This window comes from Homo sapiens, chromosome 2, assembly GCF_000001405.40.
Source record: "Homo sapiens chromosome 2, GRCh38.p14 Primary Assembly".
NCBI lineage: Eukaryota > Metazoa > Chordata > Mammalia > Primates > Hominidae > Homo > Homo sapiens.
Genome location: NC_000002.12, coordinates 156,444,705 through 156,464,368, shown reverse-complemented (window position 1 = coordinate 156,464,368; position 19,664 = coordinate 156,444,705). Strand labels below are relative to the sequence as shown.

General features: G+C 43.4%; 1 protein-coding gene across 6 annotated transcripts in view, besides 1 other annotated feature; it reads right to left on the bottom strand.

Annotated features, from left to right (window-relative positions):
• Positions 1-19,664, bottom strand: part of GPD2 (glycerol-3-phosphate dehydrogenase 2) — a 186,123-nt gene that overhangs the window by 122,035 nt on the left and 44,424 nt on the right. The window contains exon 1 of one of the 6 annotated variants that reach the window (XM_047443964.1): positions 8,654-9,745. The exons of the other annotated variants lie outside the window; for them this stretch is intronic. The gene's annotated coding sequence lies outside the window, so the exon portion shown is untranslated. Of the gene's footprint in view, positions 1-8,653; positions 9,746-19,664 lie in introns of those variants that run through there. 6 annotated transcript variants of the gene reach the window in all.
• Positions 18,293-18,352: an enhancer, noted in NCBI's record as "active region_16665". NCBI's record gives its function as "activates an Ori minimal core promoter by ATAC-STARR-seq in GM12878 lymphoblastoid cells {active_cell/tissue: GM12878}" and the evidence as "EXISTENCE:reporter gene assay evidence [ECO:0000049][PMID:35858748]".

The window sequence follows — 19,664 nt, the reverse complement described above, 5'->3', positions numbered from 1 at the left end:
CAATGCATATATGAAAAAGGAAACCTGAGACGTACTGTAGTGAAAATAATCATGTATTAGAATATTTAGCTTACTGATTACACTTCCTAAAAATGTCTGACTCACAAGGAAATAAGAATCAGATGAGAGAAACAGATTGAAGTAATTCATACTGCTAACAAAATTCCCATTTAAAGTAAGTGAAAACAATGTATTTCCTAAATGCTCCATCCCCACTCCAAAAAAAGTGAAGAAAATATACTACATTTTCCTTCACCTATGCAAAAATAATGAGGAAAGCTGTATTTCTATCTCAGTCATTTTGGCTAAAATGATCTTGGTCATAAGATCTTACTCTCCTCAGTTGAATAACGCATCCTTTCCAAACTAAAGAAAAAGATATTTCTTTTCTTCTTTAAAAGGGCTAGCACAAACCCTCATGAAAAGCATTCAAGTACTATAGTCTAGTTATTCTGCATAAGATGTTTGGTATCAACACTACAGAGCTAATAGCACAGAGGTGACAGGTCTAAAATTTAAATAGCATAAATAGAGAAAATAAAGGGTTCGACTCAATATTCCTTTTGAAGCTGTCATTGATCTTTTTTTCAAAAAAGAACTCTATAGTCTTTCCCAAAAATATATAATTCTCTATGTTGTATTCCCAAAACTCTAAATTAAAAAAGAAAATCATCAGGGGGTATTCTGGAAGGAAAGACACGCTTGTAATTCTGTCTCTTCCACTAACTTGCTCTGCGATTTCAGGCAAATCACTTGAACTTGCTGATCCTCACTCCAACTATATATGAGCTAGCCTTCAAAATGTCCAAAGCTATTTTAACTTTAAAAGTTTATTACTTTATGGTTTTTCTTCATTCAATAGATGAAGAAGGGGAAACAACCCTCATGCATTAAATGTGGCATTATCTTAATGTCCTATTTATTTAGCACTGTTAGATAATTAAAACTTGCATTCATGGTTTTATTTAATAATTATTTACTGATCATCCATCATGTGTCAGGCACTGAGCAAACAAAGAACACACACAAAAAAATCCCTGCATTCCAAGAGTTTACATCTGAGTGGAGTATACAGTTAAAAAAAAAATTCTGTATTCTTTTGGATTAAAATACTATATTTCAAGAATGTAAGTCACACTTTGGCTTCTTAAATAATATTAACCATGAATTCAATTATTGACGACTTACAGCCATCCATATGTACATGCTATGATATGGTGATGGCCTCAGGAATAATAGGAGTGACAACACTATTAATGCCTTTACTTAGTGGTCTCAGGTCCCAGTCTGTTCCTGTATGAATTCTTCCTCTCTCTGCTTCCTACAATTTTCCTGCTTCTTCCAAACTATCAGGCTGATGATAATCTTCCCTGTTTATCTTTGAGCTCACTTCTTTTTTAATACTTTAAGTTCTAGGATATATGTACACAACATGCAGGTTTGTTACATAAGTATACATGTGCCATGTTGGTGTGCTGCACCCATTAACTCGTCATTGTTACCACTGTGGTTAGAAAAATGAGAGCCAAGTTAGTTTAACTGTTTCAAATACAAGTAAATAGCTCTAAGTAAGGCTAAAGGAGCTACTTACTAGAATTTTAACACTTGGTTTTCAATGTTCTGGCTCTAACTCTTCAGGGATCTTTTTACCCCCTTCTTTTATGTGTTTCAGGTTAGTGGAGCTTACTAGAAAACATCTGGATTTTGCTGTACACACTGTGAATGAAACAAACTACCCCAGCCTCTTACATAGAGTTAAGAATGTCAGGCTAGGTGCGGTGGCTCATGCCTGTAATCCCAGCACTTTGGGAAGCCAAGGCAGGCAGATCACCTGAGGGTGGAAGTTTGAGACCAGCCCGACCAATATGGAGAAACCCCGTCTCTACTAAAAATACAAAAAAAAAAAAAAAAAAAATGTATCCGGGTGTGGTGTTGCATGCCTGGAATCCCAGCTACTTGGGAGGCTGAGGCAGGAGAATTGCTTGAACCCGGGAGGCGGAGGTTGCAGTGAGCCGAGATCACGCCATTGGACTCCAGCCTGGGCAACAAGAGCAAAACTCCATCTCAAAAAAGAAAAAAGAAAAAGAAAAAAAGAATGTCAAACCAGGTACATGCACAGAGTCCAGGCCTTAGAAAAAGAAAATTCTTATTTCAATTCTACCTCATCTGAATAGATCCACATTATCTTGAAAAAACATGGCAACACTCTCTGCTTCTGTGCTAGAAACAATTAGTATATTTTTCTGTGCTCTCCTGCATTTAAAGAAATATTTGCAGATAAATGGACCAAAAAAATCCATCTGCTGCTTCTAAAAAACTCGAAAATTCCTTGAGAACTGGCTTATTGAAAACATACCAATAGCAAAGGAAAGATTAAAATTGTAATTTCTTAGAATATAACCAAAGCAAGAGTTCCATCAAATACTCAGGAAAGTATCCGTGAAGGACCTACCCAAGTGAAGAAGACAGGAGGAGGAGCATTGGTTCAGGTAACATACATTCAACTGGGATTGACTGAATACCTGGCAGATCCCCAGCACTGTTCCAGGGGCTGGGAATTCCTCTACTCTCATGGATTGGAAAAGACAAAAATAAACATGTAAACAAACATAAAAATTAAGTATTTTGAAAGTGAGAATTACTAGGAGAAAATAAAGATGAAATAATAGGTTAGAGGATAACTGGGGTAGGCTGGACATGATGGCTCATGCCTGTAATCCCAGCACTTGGGGAGGCCAAGGTGGGAGGATCGCTTGAGGTCAGGAGTTTGAGACTAGCCTGGGTAACATAGTGAGACCCTGTGCCTACAAAAAATAGAAAAAATGAGCTGGGCATGGTAACATGCACCTATAGTCCCAGCCACTCAGGAGGCTGAGGCAGGAGGATTGCTTGAGCACAGGAGTTGGAGCCTACAGTGAGCCACGATCACACCAACCTGGGTGACAAAGTGAGACCCTGTCTCAAAAACAAACAAACAAAAAAGTCAGTGGAGAATTTTAATCAGTACAATGATACGATGAAACTTATATTTCAGAAAGAAAGGAAGAAATGCCCTAGCTGCAGTATAGAGGATGCCTTTTAGGGTAATAAGAGTAAAAGTAGAGCCTGGAAGGTCAAGGCTACAGCGAGCTGAGATCCCACCACTGCACTCCACCCTGGGCAACAGAGTGAGATCCTGTCTCAAAAAAAAAAAAAAAAAAAAAAAAAGAGATAGAGAGAGATAATGTGATAATTTAGTGCTTGCCTGCAGGAACACAACTACTCCTATAGGCACAGGCACAGCCAGGGACCTGCTAGTGATAGGATGCTATCCTTGGCATATTCAAATGACACCAATGACCCCCAGGAGAGAGAGAGGGTTGCTTTTTCATTAGGATACCATTAGCCATGTTCATAATGAGTAGATGCAAGTATAGAAAAAAGGACACAATGGGAGAGGGGGAAAGAGTTAACAAATTATATGAGAAAACAGGCAAAAATACCAACTGCAATCTACAAGATTCTATAATAGGGAAACAAATACTTTAGGGATAAACTTGAATGTAAATATGTACTGAACTTACATACTTGAAAGACTGTTCATCTCACTCAGTCTAACAGGCTAACAACAATGAACAGACAGTGTCATCTAAGAGAGCCTCTTAAATGCCAACAGAAGTCTTTTTTATATTTCTATTTCCCCTTGGGCTGGGGTTGTTTCCAGGTGACTTTTCTCACCCCACAACTCATTATAATTTGCACTGATTTTGGACCCATATTGGAAAAGAACCCTAGGTCACATCTCTAAAGGCTGACGCACCCAGAACATTTCCCACCAACTACAGGCCAGGAAGTTAAGAGCTGTGTGAAGCTTATTGACCCAGCTGAGTATAAATTTCCAACAGGCAAGAGAGACTGCATATGATTAATTACAGTTATTTATATTTATGGGTTTGAATCTTGAGGATGCCTGGCCTATCCCCATTTTATTTCATAATTTTCCCCCTATTGGAGACTGAAGAGCAAAAGTCAATTGCCTGAAGTGTTGGCATCACACTGGAAACTAAAGGGCCATGCATTTCAATTCCAGCTCAAGGAACACTCTGACTGAGCAGATGCAATTCACCAGACCCCAGTGGGCTAGGATCGTACTGTTCTCAGTCAAATCACATAGCTGATGGAATTCAGCAGAGTACATTAGCAATTTATACTCAACAGCCTCTCTTCAACCATAAATTTTGAAATAATTTTGAGATAATGTCTGAGATAAAATTGGGATAATATTAAGTAAAACTTAAACTTAATCCAAAAAATTCAGGCCATAGTTTGAGCCTCTGTTCCTACCATGAAGCAGTCAGGAGGCAAGTGACTAAGTGGCATTTCTAATAGGATTCCTGTCAAAACGCCAGGTTCAGTATCAGTCCAATGACCTTCAGGCCTGACCTCACCTAGTGCACTTGAGCTTACTCCTTCAGTCATTCGTCTGGCAGCTGCCAGTTTTTCAGATTATACTATGTGGCAGCCAAGTGCTCTGCAGAGATTACAGAATGGGCAGTCAGCAACCTGAGATGTCAGTCTACCCTACGATAGTCTCAGCCTGAACAAAGCCATCAGACTTCCCTGGACTTCAATGTCCTTACGTAAAAGATTGAGATCTTCTATATGTTCCCTTTTTCTTTCTTTTTTTTTTTTTTTTTTTTTTTGAGACGGAGTCTTGCTCTGTCGCCAGGCTAGAATGCAGTGGCATGATCTCAGTTAACTGCAACCTCTGACTCCCTGGTTCAAGCGATTCTCCTGCATCAGGCTCCCAAATAGCTGGGATTACAGGCATGCGCCACCATGCCCAGCTAATTTTTGTATTTTCAGTAGTTTTTAGTAGGTTTCACCATGTTGGCCAGGATGGTCTCAATCTCCTGACCTCGTGATCCACCCACCTCAGCCTCCCAAAGTGCTGGGATTACAGGTGTGAGCCACCGCGCCCAGCCTATATTCCCTTTTTCATGGTACTGCTGGACCCATAACCCTTGCCTTTGGCACTCCAAGGCCTTCTGCCATTTTTACCACCTAAACCGGACAGTAGGCGTAAGTCACTCACCATGCCAAATGACTGCCATCAACATCCCCTTAACCCACTCTGACTTGAAAAAGCAACACTTTCATACTGAAAAGAATCATAATAAAGAAAAGTCTAAAAAAATAAATGGCACCCTTAAATAAGTTAGACATTCTAGAATTTCTTCACCTTGTAGGAATTAATCCTTTCTGAGTTAAGTACACTCTGGATAGAGATGGGGTAACGGACAAGTAGAAAATTAATTATGAAGAGAACAAAAGTAAATAAAACAGTATCTTTGTGTGTGTGTATATATATATATATATATATTTCTATTTTAAAGTATATGTACATACACACACATACACACTCACAAGTGAAGGTTAGACGAATATACCCCAAAATGTTAAAAATCTCATCTTTGAATGGTAGTATTATGAATCATTTTTATTTTCTTCCTTGTGTGCATTATTTTCTAGATGTCTAAAATAAGCATGAATTATTCTTGTAATTAGAAAAAAATGTGGAATATACGTGTGCATGCATATAAGAGAAAGAGACCTGAAAAAAAAGAATTCCAAAGAGCACCATGCAGATGGATAGCTGACATTTGACCAAATCCCATATCATCTGACCATTACTTGAGTGATTTTCCTGTTATACAACTTTTTCTCATCTTTAATGAACTACAGTAAAAGACCCATATAGAAAAAGAAAAAGAATACTTTGCCTTTACAATTTATTAGGAATCTTTGAGTAAGAACTGGAAAATGTCACAGAATTATCTGCCTCATTCTAGAAAAATCTCCACCCTAACTAAAATGAATTTGCCTTGAGCATGGGACACAATAACCATTTAAGCTTGAGTTAAGCTGCACCTAAACTCGCCCTACATTTTTAGTTATTGCACATTACAGCCCCTCGGGGATTTGCAGTTTTAATGCAACACTGGAAATCCCAACAACAAATCAAACCAGAAACTGCAAAGCTGATCAACCTTCCTGGAATTGGGTGTTTCCCAAATTTCAACTCCATAACTACAGAATCTCTTTAGTTAACACACCCAGGGGGCCCCTCCACTGTGCCAGGCCCTAAAGGAAGTCCACAGATGCACAGAGAAGAGACAGACCATCCTAAAATGGGGGCCAACATTCCCTCTCTCTCCCCACCCTGTGATAATTTAGTGCTTGCCTGCAGGAACACAGCTACTCCTATAGGCACAGCCAGGGACCTGCTAGTCCTAGGCTGCTGTCCTCGGCATATTCAAATGACACCAATGACACCCAGGAGAAAATTCAGTGCAGGAGGCAGCCAGTGTAGGAGACAGAAGACACAGACAGCCCTGGGTGAATTCCAACTTAGCCACTTACTAGCTGTGTGACTATGAGCTTTAGTTTCCTCATTTATAAAATCTCTTTTGTCACAAGTTATACTGAGAATTCGAGGTAATATAAGTAAAGCATAAAAATACATCTGCTATCCAACAACTCCCACTGCTAATACATAACATTACTGAGCATCTACAATAAGCTCTGGCCTTTTCACACATTGTCCACATTTGCACGTGGAATTGGGATATAGAAGACTATTGTTACGAGAGAGCAAAAGCAACCAACCAATTTCCATCGGGCCACAACCCTGCTTTGGCCTAACCAGCACTTTGTTCTGAACAACCAAGTACACTTAACACTCACAGGTTGGGGAAATAAATCCCATTGTTTCCCTGAAAAGACACAGGCAGGCGGCCTCTTCTGGCATATCTCTAGCATCTTTCCCCCAAATAAACATTCACTCAAATAGAATGGACACTCTTATTTCAGAGTGTTCTATCAAAAATAAACCCATATCAAGCCCAACATCTAATGCAGATCTATTTCTGGGTCACAGATTACCTGTTACAGAGGTCAGAAGGAGGCAAGAGGATTTTCCCTTCAGATCAGGCTCTAATCACATGGAGTCCAACGTTTATACCTCTATCTCTAGTAGTCTGTCAATTGGCAGATTAAAAATATTCCCTGTAAGAAGCCTGAGCAAAGGTTTGTGGCCTGAGTTAACCCAAGTCATTGGGACAACTTTGACCCATATGAGTAGTTTCTGGTCCTCTATTTAGAATAGTACTTCTTGGTATTTATTTTTATTTCAGAGAAGGTGGGGAGTTGCTTTCTGGCTCTGTCACAAACTCTGGACACCATCTAAGTACCTTAGGAAAAAATACTAATAAAAAATCAAAATGCCATGGAAACAGTCTATGAGTCAATTTTTTTTTAAAGAAATCAAGCTATTTCTCAAGAATGTGTCCCTTCTAGAATGATACCCTAATCTCAAAATATGAAAGCATACACTGCATCTTTGTTTAACCTTACAATGAGAACTGGGGAACGAGGGTCAGTGATCCCATCTCAAGTGCCAAAATGGGCCTTGCTTGGTCACTCATGCAGAACATGCTAACCACAGAGCTTGCTAACCACTGTGTCGCCCAAACCACCTTTACCCATGCTACGCCATCTCCTTATTGCTCAGACTCTCCCACAGCCCCCAACCCACCTTCACCCTCCCCTTTCCAGCATTCCCTATCCATCTACACAAAAGAGTGACTCACTCCTGCCCCCTCATTTCACATTTGCCCTTCCCACTCTTACTTGATTCATTCTGCTGCCATCTGATTTGCATTATCTTAATTCTTTGGAATACAGAATTAATTAGTTCATGTAGGATCAAGAAGACCAACTTTTTTTTTTTTTGAGACAGAGTCGCACTCCGTTGCCCAGGCTGGAGCGCAGTGGTGTGATCTCTGCAACCTCCACCTTCCAAGTTCAAGCAATTCTCCCACCTCAGCCTCCAGAGAAGCTGGGATTACAGTTGTGCGCCACCACATGCGACTAGTTTTTGTATTTTTGTAGAGACAAGGTTTCGTCATATTGGCCAGACTGGTCTCAAACTCCTGACCTCAGGTGATCTGCCCACCTCAGCCTCCCAAAGTGCTACGGTTATAGATGTGAGCCACCGCGCCTGGCCCAAGAAGACCAACATTTGAAGAAACCTAAAGGACTAGACTTTTCACCAACATTCTAGAATGCTCCATACCCCAATCCCACAATTCTAAGTGGGCACCAGAAAATGCCCAATTAAACAACCAGAAAATCACATTTGTTTGCATTTCTTTGGTGTACCACTGAAAACGTTAATGATTACAATTCACCAAAAAACAATGGCAATAGTGAGCAAAATCACTGGATAAATCAAGCAGTAAAAGTCACTCAGTAGAAGGAAAAGAACACAGGATGAAGTCTGTTTCCCATCCTAAATAACTACATGGACATCAGTTTTTTTCTGCACTCATCTACTACTTCATCAGAAAAATTTCCTGCACTGTTAAAAGAAAGAAGCAAAAAATATATAATTTAGATTTCACCAAACAAAGGCAATATGGAAACTCAAATATGCAGTGAGTTTTCATTTACTCAACAAACATTTGTGGGCACCTACTGTATTAGACCATGGGTAAACAAAGATGAATCACTTACTGGTTTCTGCCTTTAAAAAACTAATGGCTTAGAGAGAAGCATTCTAACACAAACAAAAATGATAAAAATAAGGACAAGGCGCTAAGGGATTACTTACCCCTGAAGGAAAGAGAAGGCAGGAAGCATCAGGGGAGGTTTCTAGGGAAGGCAATATGTAACTTTAACAGTGAAGGTGTATTATGTCCAGAGTGACTATGAGCAGAGACATAATGGTATAAGACAACACATCATTTTCAAGAACAAGAGGGTGTGGTCTGACTAGGGCATAGGGTGGAATGAGTAATCCTAAGTAAGGAGGCAATGAAACTCAATAGAGCAAGGCAGAAGAATCACTGGAAATCTTATATACGAGTCAAAGGAATTTGGACTTTGTCATTAGACAAAGGATTGTCAAGAAGGCTTTAAGCATATGCTTTGGCTACATACTGTGTTATAAGGACTGTGCTAGTCAATTTATATATGTTACATTCATCTTCATAACATTCCTAGTAGGATTAGATAGAACCATGGTTGAACTTAAAAGACCATTCTCTCATTCCTAATTTTCCAGAGCAGTCTTGACAGATAAACTAAAAGAACATGAATCTGGGAGTAAGGAAATCAGAAGACTGGATTCAGGGCAGTCAGGAGACTGGACGCAACTCCTGAGAGTCCATACTAAGACAACCACAGTCATTACAGAGGGGACAGCACGAAGTCCAAATCCATTTTGGAGGGAGAATTGCTAAGATGACTGCTCCCTGGGAGCAGCAGTCCTTAGTCCTTCAAACAGAAGACCCCTCCCTCTCCCCCAGGGTTACACCACCATCATGGCTGAGAAGAGGCCCTAAGAGCACCTCATGCTATCAGCCACTGAAGGGCAGCTGGTCCCCAAGGAGGCCTTTATACTCCAACTGGCCACTACGTCTTCAGGAGATGACCTAGGCTACAGACACACTAAGAAGGCTTTTGCTCACCCCTGGCCACTAAGCAACAGGAGCTGCCACATGGTACCTACCCAATTTCCCCCAAGACATCACCAGGACTAACCCTAGCATGCTCCACAGCCCTCTTTTCCTCAGTCATCACCAGAAGACCAATCTTCCCCATCTCTCACCTTCCCAGGCCTCCCTCCCTCCCACTCTGCCCTCTGGTACTTAAACTCTATCCCCAGCAAATTCCATTAAATTCTCTTCTCTGAGTGTTCCTTTCACCAAACTAAACCTTGAAAACATAAAGAAAGTAAGATTTAACCTGAATTTCAGATGCTGAACACTAATAACACTATTTTCCCATATCATATAAAGAGAAGCTTGGTTATATTATCACTTTTTTTTTTTCATAGAGATAGGGTCTCACTATGTTGCCCTGGCTGGTATAGAACTCCTGGCCTCAAGTAATCCTCCCATTTGGCCTACCAAAGCACTGAGATTACAGGCCTGAGACACCACACATGGCCCTATATTCTCATACTTAGGTCTAGTTTCAGCCAGTATAAACAAGGATGGCTATGGCAGTTGCTAAAGTATCAAAATACCTCTCAACCAGTTGACAACTAGCTATGATCAAGAGATTAAAGAGTTAACATCTAGCTTCACAAAAGGCCCCCAGAACCCTGCTCCTGATGGAACACCGACATCAGCAGGTTACCATTTCACATGAGTTGTCAAACACTTTGAGTAACGACTCTGTTCATAACCCCAAGATCCCCTAACCTAGAGGTGGATTAAGTGTCTCTCCAGCTCACCTTCCAATTTCTCTTCTATCCTCTTTCAAAAGTCTTACCTGTCTGAAGTTTATGCCATTAGACTTTACCACCCATTATCCCTTCTCGCTGTCATCTACCCAACTACTGCTATTTCCCCTTATTTGCTGATGACCTTCATACCTATTTCCCTTTCCAGACTCATCTGTCTTCATCATTGCAGTTTTCTTTTTTGTTTTGTTTTTTGTTTTTGAGACAGAGTCTCACTCTGTCACCCAGGCTGCAGTGAAGTGGCGTGATCTCAGCTCACTGCAACCTCCACCTCCCGGGTTCAAGCGATTCTCCTGCCTCAGCCTCCCAAGTAGCTGGGATCACAGGCATGTGCCACCATGCCCAGCTAATTTTTGTATCTTTAGTAGAGCCATGGTTTTGCCATGTTAGCCAGGCTGGTCTCAAACTCCTGACCTCAGGTGATCCACCCGCCTCAGCCTCCCGAAGTGCTGGGATTACAGGCCCGGCCATCATTGCTGTTTTCTACAACTACATGAAGGCTCCAATTCCTCAACCACCTCACCTCTGATGACCTTTGTTTGACCCTACCTCATTATCATAACCTCTGATTTGGGCATCCCCACTATTTATATCAACTCCGCAGACTCCAGCCTCAAGCACCCTACACTGTAAACACCACCTTCTCTTTCTTCAGTTTATCTACTGTAGTCTGGAATTTCCATTCCACCATCTTGGCATTATCTGGCCCTTCAGTCCATTGACCCTACTATTTGCTTCACTATCAGTCACTTCTCCTGCTGCCTAGCTGAGAATTAAATTAGGTCCATCACTGTAATTTCTCCCTTCCAAGCACCCTTAACTCCCTTGCTCCTCTCTTCATGCTTCATTTTTACTTGGCAAACCCCCAAACCAGTTAAACCCAACTATCTGCCTGTTTCACATCTCCACCCAAACAGCTGAAGAAACTGCCTGGGAAAAAAAACATGCAACCACAACTGGCCTCAATTTAAATTCATAGCTGCAAATCATTAATGTGCAATCCACACTGACCCACAATCCTATTACATTTCCCCAGGATGTTTCAAAATAGCCATTTGAAATCTCTTTTCCCAAACCTGTTTCACCCCTCCACACCCCAATATCATCACACTTCACTGGGAAAGTAAAGTAGATGCAACTAGGTAAAAATTTCATCTTCCCACCACCCAAATGATGACTTATCCACCTCTGTACTCATTCTCTCTGCAGTCCTTCCTTTTACTAATAAAATGTGCCTGTTTCAAGTAAAGACCAATCATTCTATTTGTACACTAGATCCCCTTCCTTCCTGGCTCTTCAGAAATTTTATTTGTACAATTACCCACCACTCTCTCCTACCTTCATCAGCTCCTCTTCTCTACTTAATCATTTTGTCAGCATAGAAATTCACTGTATTATCCTCTAGTTCTAACAAACCCTCCCTTGACCAATATCCTCTTCCAAGAACTTTTCCACGTCTCTGCTTTCCTTCATAATGAAACTTCTTGAAAGAGTTCTCCCTCTCCCCTCTCCCCTCTCCCCACGGTCTCCCTCTCCCTCTCTTTCCATGGTCTCCCTCTGATGCCGAGCCGAAGCTGGACTGTACTGCTGCCATCTCGGCTCACTGCAACCTCCCTGCCTGATTCTCCTGCCTCAGCCTGCGATTGCAGGTGCGCGCCGCCGCGCCTGACTGGTTTTTGTATTTTTTTGGTGGAGACGGGGTTTTGCTGTGTTGGCCGGGCTGGTCTCCAGCTCCTAACCGCGAGTGATCCGCCAGCCTCGGCCTCCAGAGGTGCCGGGATTGCAGACGGAGTCTGGTTCACTCAGTGCTCAATGGTGCCCAGGCTGGAGTGAGGTGGCGTGATCTCGGCTCGCTACAACCTCCACCTCCCAGCCGCCTGCCTTGGCCTCCCAAAGTGCCAGGAGTGCAGCCTCTGCCCGGCCGCCACCCAGTCTGGGAAGTGAGGAGCGTCTCTGCCTGGCCACCCATCGTCTGGGACGTGAGGAGCCCCTCTGCCTGGCTGCCCAGTCTGGAAAGTGAGGAGCGTCTCTGCCCGGCCGCCATCCCATCTAGGAAGAGAGAAGCATCTCTGCCCGGCCGCCCATCGTCTGAGATGTGGGGAGCGCCTCTGCCCCGCCGCCCCGTCTGGGATGTGAGGAGCGCCTCTGCCCGGCCGCGACCCCGTCTGGGAGGTGAGGAGCGTCTCTGCCCGGCCGCCCCGTCTGAGAAGTGAGGAGACCCTCCGCCCATCTGAGAAGTGAGGAGCCCCTCCGCCTGGCAGCCACCCCGTCTGGGAAGTGAGGAGTGTCTCCGCCCGGCAGCCACCCTGTCTGGGAGGGAGGTGGGGGGGTCAGCCCCCCGCCCGGCCAGCCGCCCCGTCCGGGAGGGAGGTGGGGGGGTCAGCCCCCCGCCCTGCCAGCTGCCCCGTCCGGGAGGTGAGGGGCGCCTCTGCCCAGCCGCCCCTACTGGGAAGTGAGGAGCCCCTCTGCCGGGCCAGCCGCCCTGTCCGGGAAGGAGGTGGGGGGGTCAGACCCCCGCCCGGCCAGCCGCCCCGTCTGGGAGGGAGGTGGGGGGGTCAGCCCCCCCGCTCGGCCAGCCGCCCCTTCCGGGAGGGAGGTGGGGGGGTCAGCCCCCCGCCCGGCCAGCCGCCCCGTCCGGGAGGGAGGTGGGGGGGTCAGCCCCCCGCCCTGCCAGCTGCCCCGTCCGGGAGGTGAGGGGCGCCTCTGCCCAGCCGCCCCTACTGGGAAGTGAGGAGCACCCCCGCCCGGCCAGCCGCCCTGTCCGGAAAGGAGGTGGGGGGGTCAGCCCCCCGCCCTGCCAGCTGCCCCGTCCGGGAGGTGAGGGGCGCCTCTGCCCGGCCACCCCTACTGGGAGGTGAGGAGCCCCTCTGCCCGGCCACCACCCCGTCTGGGAGGTGTGCCCAGCAGCTCATTGAGAACGGGCCATGATGACAATGGCGGTTTTGTGGAATAGAACGGGGGGAAAGGTGGGGAAAAGATTGAGAAATCGGATGGTTGCCGTGTCTGTGTAGAAAGAAGTAGACATGGGAGACTTTTCATTTTGTTCTGTACTAAGAAAAATTCTTCTGCCTTGGGATCCTGTTGATCTGTGACCTTACCCCCAACCCTGTGCTCTCTGAAACATGTGCTGTGTCCACTCAGGGTTAAATGGATTAAGGGCGGTGCAAGATGTGCTTTGTTAAACAGATGCTTGAAGGCAGCATGCTCGTTAAGAGTCATCACCACTCCCTAATCTCAAGTACCCAGGGACACAAACACTGCGGAAGGCCGCAGGGTCCTCTGCCTAGGAAAACCAGAGACCTTTGTTCACTTGTTTATCTGCTGACCTTCCCTCCACTATTGTCCTGTGACCCTGCCAAATCCCCCTCTGCGAGAAACACCCAAGAATGAGCAATAAAAAAAAAAAAAAAAAGAGTTGTCTATAAGAACTGTCTCCACTTCCACAATTTAATCCAATAAACTTTGTCCCAGCCTCTTCTTAAACTATATGTCAAATTGTCAAAATCACAAATGACCTCATTTCACCAAATGTAATCTCTATAATTAACATAGTAGAACCGTCTCTTTTTTAATATCTTTTGAATTCTTAGCCTCAGAGACACCACGCTCTTCTGCTTTCCATCCCATCCCACTGGCAACTCCTCCTTCTCTTCTATATAATAGTTGCTCAATGGCCTGCTTCTCTCTATATACATTCTCTGTAGGTAACTCCATCCAGTATCAAATATAACCTATATGCAAATAATTCCTAAGTCTGTATCCTCAGCCAAACCCCTCTCAGAATCTCCAAACCCCATTCACCCAGTTGTCTGACATCTCCAAAGGAATATCTAATAATCACTTCAAACTTAGCCAAAGCAGAACACTTTATATCTTCCATCAAGTCTGCCTCTCTCCCAGCTCTCCCCTTCTCAGTAAGTGGACCAGCTCTCAAATAGAAAATGCAAGCCTTTCTTTTATTCTTCTTCCTTTCCTCCAAATAATCTAGCAGGCAAGTTCACCCAACTAATTCTATCTCAAAAATATATCCTGAATCTATCCACTTCTTTCTATGCTTTTTTCTCTTTGAGACAGAGTCTCACTCTGTCACCCAGGCTGGAGTGCAGTGGCACAATCTTGGCTCACTGCAACCTCCACCTCCCAGGTTCAAGGCTCCTGCCTCAGCCTCCCTAGTAGCTGGGATTACAGGCATGTGCCACCATGCCCGGCTTTTTTTTTTTTGTATATTTAGTAGAGATGGAGTTTTGCCATATTGGCCAGGCTGGTCTCGAACTCCTGGCCTCATGTGATTCACCCGCCTCAGCCTCCCAAAGTGCTGGGATTACAGGCATAAGCCACCACGCCCAGGCCACTTTTTTCTATCTTTAATACAATGGTTGTCCATTCAATAATAAGTTCTTGGTTGGGCAACCAAAACAGACTAACTAACTCCCACTTCCCATATTCTGTTTACTTGTAGCAGCCAGCATAATCTTTGATGGCATGTATTCTCAATGAGAGCAATATCACCCACAGTTGCTTCTTGGCAGGTGAAAAAATATTGCATATTACAATTGTCTGTGGCCCTCCAAACTTCAACTCTACCCAACAAAATCTTCTTAGCATTTAAGCAGTACTCTCTTGTTGGGGAGAAATTAAGTTTTTAATTAATTAATTTTAATTTAATTTTTCTTCTTGGAAAGGTACAGTGAGAAGAAATTAAGAAAGACTACTTTATAGCAAAACCACACAGTTTCTCTTGCCTGCATATAATCCTCTAATGGTTTCTAGCACCCTAGAATGAAATCTAAACATCTCACCTTGGATTATAAAGACCTATAGGATCCAGCCCTTCACTGCAGTAGGTTAAATAATGACGCCCACAACATATCCTCATCCTAATCCCTGGAACCTGTGAATGTTATAAGGAAAAAAAAAAATTCACCAATGTGATTAAATTAAGACCTTAAGAGGGAAAGGTTATTCTGAATTACCAGGGGGAACCCTAAATGTAATCACTTTACATCTTTGTAAGAAGAAGACAGGGTGATTTGATACAGATGAGAATGCAATGATGTGACCACAGAAGTAGAGACTGGAGTGATGCAGCCACAGCCAAGGAATGCCAGAAGCCACCAGAACCTGAAGGAGTTAAGGACCATATTCACTCCTCAGAAGGGAGCACATCCTGCTAACTCCTTAATTTTGGCACAGTGAAACTGACTTCAGATTTCCGGCATCCTGAATGATGAAAGAATAAATTTCTGTTGTTTTAAGCCACCAAGTTTGTGGTCATTTGTTACAGCAGCCACAGGACACCAATACAGACACCTCTCACTCTTACCCACTAAGTTCCAGATTTATTTGCCTTCTGATGTCTGTCAAATCAGGATTACTATTAGTGTTTTGGGGCCAGCTGCCTCTACCTGGAATGCTCTGCTCCTCAACTTTGCATGGCAAGCTCCTTCCAGTCATTCACGACTCAGCTTAAATGTCAAGTCCTCAGAGAGGCCTTCCCAAATTATTCAAATCCAAAGTATGCATACAACTCTTATCTTCTCATGTCTCTCCTTTATTTAAGCATTATTATTTCTTTGTTCCCCACTAAAACATAATTCTACAAGAACAGAAACTGTGTTTGTTTTGTACACCACTATAATCTTATTTGTAGAAAAATTGCTGACATAGGCCAGGCGCAGTGGCTCACGCCTGTAATCCCATCCCAGCACTTTGGGAGGCCAAGGTGGTGGATCACGAGGTCAGGAGCTCAAGACCAGCCTGACCAAGATGGTGAAACCCCGTCTCTACTAAAAATACAAAACAATTAGCCGGGCATGGTGGCAGGTGCTTGTAATCCCAGCTACTCGGGAGGCTGAGGCAGAGAATTGCTTGTACCTGGGAGGCGGAGGTTGCAATGAGCCGAGATCATGCCACTGCACTCCAGCCTGGGCAACAGAGCAAGAGTCAAAAAAAAAAAAAGGGAAAATTGCTGACACATATTAGGTGATTGATAGACCTAACAAACAAATGGATGGATGATGTAGGCAGTGAGAGAAAAGATGATGGCATTTGTCAATAAGGAAAGGAATAGCATGGGAAAGCAGGAAGAAATTATGGGTCCTGACTCAACTGTGGGACATGCAAGTGGAAATGCCTGAGTTCAGCGAATAAGTCTGCCCAAGAATGTTGACTTGGGATTGACTGAAATCAGGGATATTGATGAACTTGTTGAAAAAGCATCAACAGAGAAAAGAGAGTGAACTAAAGACAGACCCTGGGAATTCCAATATCAAGGCAAAGAACCTGCAGAGAGATCCATAAGGAGTAATCCAAGAGAAGATGTCACAGTAGCCTAGTGAAAACTCAGTTTCACAGAAAAGAGAATGAGCAGAATCATGGAAATTTTAAATAATAAAATCTCATTGATTTGTCAGTCAAGAGGACACTCATAATCATAACAAGAGCAGAGTTGGGCCAGGCTCACACCTGTAATCCCAGCACTTTGGGAGGCTAAGGAGGGAGAATCGCTCAAGCCCAGGAGTTCAAGACCAGCCTGGGCCACATGGCAAGGCTCCATCTCTATAAAAAAAGTAAAAATCAATCAGGTATGATGGCCTGAACCTGGGGTCCCAGCCACTCAGGAGGCTGACGTAGGAGGATCGCTTGAGCCCAGGAGTTCAAGGCTGCCATGAACTATGATTGTGCTACTGCAATCCAGCCTGAGTGACAGGATAAGACCCTGTCTCAGGAAAAAAAAAAAGAGAGAGATTCATCTGAGATCGAAGACAGATTCCAACAGTTGTGGAGGGAATGGAAGGTGAAGAAGTAGAAAAATAATGCACAAAAAGTACTTTAAGGAAGAACAGCTTGAAGGAAAGGAGAAAGAGAGCATGTAGCAAGAGGGCAGAATGGGGCACAGGTGCAATGTTGGTTATTGGTCTTGTTTGTTTTTGTAATGGGAGAATCTTGAGCATTCTTGTAAATATTTGAAATGCATCTCAGCATCTCCAACACAAACAAACAAATAAATACATGCAGGTAAGCATAGAAAAATGTCATAGAATAAGGCATCTGAAGGGAATGGGGGATCCAGAGTACGGGGGAAAGCATCAACTTCGGATAACCACCTCTAAGTCAAGAATTAATGAGGGGTTGATGGATTCAGATATAAAAATGATGTGGAAAGGAGAAAAATTTTAAGATTTGACATGTTATTTCAATTCTCTCAGAATAATAGAAGGCAAGGGCCGGGTGCTGTGGCTCATGTCTGTGATCCCAGCACTTTGGGAGGCCAAGGCAGGCAAATCACAAGTTCGAGACCAGCCTGGCCAACATGGTGAAACCTTGTCTCTACTAAAAATATAAAAATTAGCCAGGCATGGTGGCACGTACCTGTAATCCCAGCTACTCTGGAGGCTGAGGCTTAAACCCAGGAGGCAGAGGTTGCAGTGAGCCAAGATCGTGCCACTGCATTCCAGCCTGGGTGCCAGAGCCAGACTCCATCTTAAAAAAAAAAAAAATGCAAGGACACTGTGAAGGGGACAGCTAAGTCATTATCAAAAATGCATATTCTCTTCTTCCTGGACTTGCAGCTAGACTACATGTGCCAATCTCCCTTTCAGCTAAGTATCACTACACAACAGACTTCCAGCCAATGGTATATGAACAGAACTAATGCATTCATTTCAAGATTATGTGTTTAAGGCCAGGCGCAGTGGCTCACACCTGTAATCCCAGCACTTGGAGAGGTTGAGGCGGGCGGACTGCCTGAGGTCAGGAGTTCGAGACCAGCCTGGTCAACATGGCAAAACCCCATCTCTACTAAAAATACAAATATTAGCCGGGCATGGTGGCACATGCCTATAATCCCAGCTACTTGGGAGGCTGAGGCAGGAGAATCGCTCAAGCCCAGGAGGCAGAGGTTGCAGTGAGCTGAGATCGTCCCACTGCACTCAACCTGGGCAACAGAGCGAGACTCATCTCAAAAAAAATAAGTGTGTGTTTAGAAAGTAGATATGCTTCCTGCCTTTCCCTTTCACCATCCACTGGCTGGCTGTAGTTGAAAAGAAAGCCCTAAGGAATTGCTGAGTCATAAAATGGAAGAATCCAGAGTGCCTGAATCATTGAAAGGAAAGTGATCCACCAACAAAGACCATGATATAAGCAAAAATTAAACTTGTGCTTGAGCTTGTATCTATTTTCAGGCCTTTCAGTTATGATGGTTGAGCCTACCCTAACCACTAACCATCATCTTTTAATAAAGAAATGCCTGGGTGACATAAAAGACTCAAAGAAAATGCTGAAAGTTTGAAAAAAACTACAGCAAGAAATAGAAAAAGGTATTGTGTAGAAAAAGGTAAGATAACTCTCTCATGACTAAGGCTGGAGAACATACATTTTTATACATCTCCAATACACATAATCATTTTCGTTTTCACAATAACCATCAGAAACCCAAGTATAGGAGTAGAAAAGAAGACTGATACCAAGTTGCACATTGCTTCTACATCCATTAAGACTAAGAAAATTTTAACAACTTCGTGGATTCCTACAAGTCAAATCATAAGCAATGTCATTATAGGCATGCTGTGCTATGTATGCAACTATTTAAACAAGTTCAGCATCATTGGTGAAAACTGGTGAACTACAAGGTAAAGTATTAGGAAGTGTAAGTGTTAAATGGCACAGTTCAATGGTTGGGCAGTGGAATACAATGTTGCAAAAGTCAAGAAATACATTACAGAAATAGGAATAGGATTATCTCTCGATTCTATTGTTTTTAAAACAGTTTTTAAGGGAGTTTCTGCCATACCAGAAAATAACCACATGCATGGCTTTAAGTCCCTTAACTTCTCTGTGCCTTTTTGCTCCCTGATATGACAGGGTTCACTGTTGATACATTAAAAAATGTGCACAAAGTACTCAGCACAGTGCCTAGAAAATGGCAACTGCTTAATAAATACTTGTCATTGCTGTTTATTATTAATAAGAAAAAGACCACGTTAGGTTAAATTGCTAAACTCCTTCCTATTTTAAAATTCTGTGAATCTGGCCAGGCACAGGGGCTCATGCCTGTAATCCCAGCACTTCTGAGGCAAAGGCAGGAGGATCACTTGAGGCCAGGAGTTCAAGACCAGCCTGGGCAACATAGTGAGACACTGTCTCTAAGAATTTTTTTTAAATTAGCCAGGCATGGTGGCACACACCTGTCATTCTAGCTACTCAGGAGGTTGAGGAGAAGAATCGCGTGACGTAGGAGTGCAAAGCTGCAGTGAGCTATAAATGTGCCACTGCACTCCTGCCTGGGCAGCAGAGCAAGACTCTGTCTTTAAAAATAATAATAAATAAAATTATGTTAGTGTGTGTGTGTGTGTGTGTATTTGTTTTTGAGACA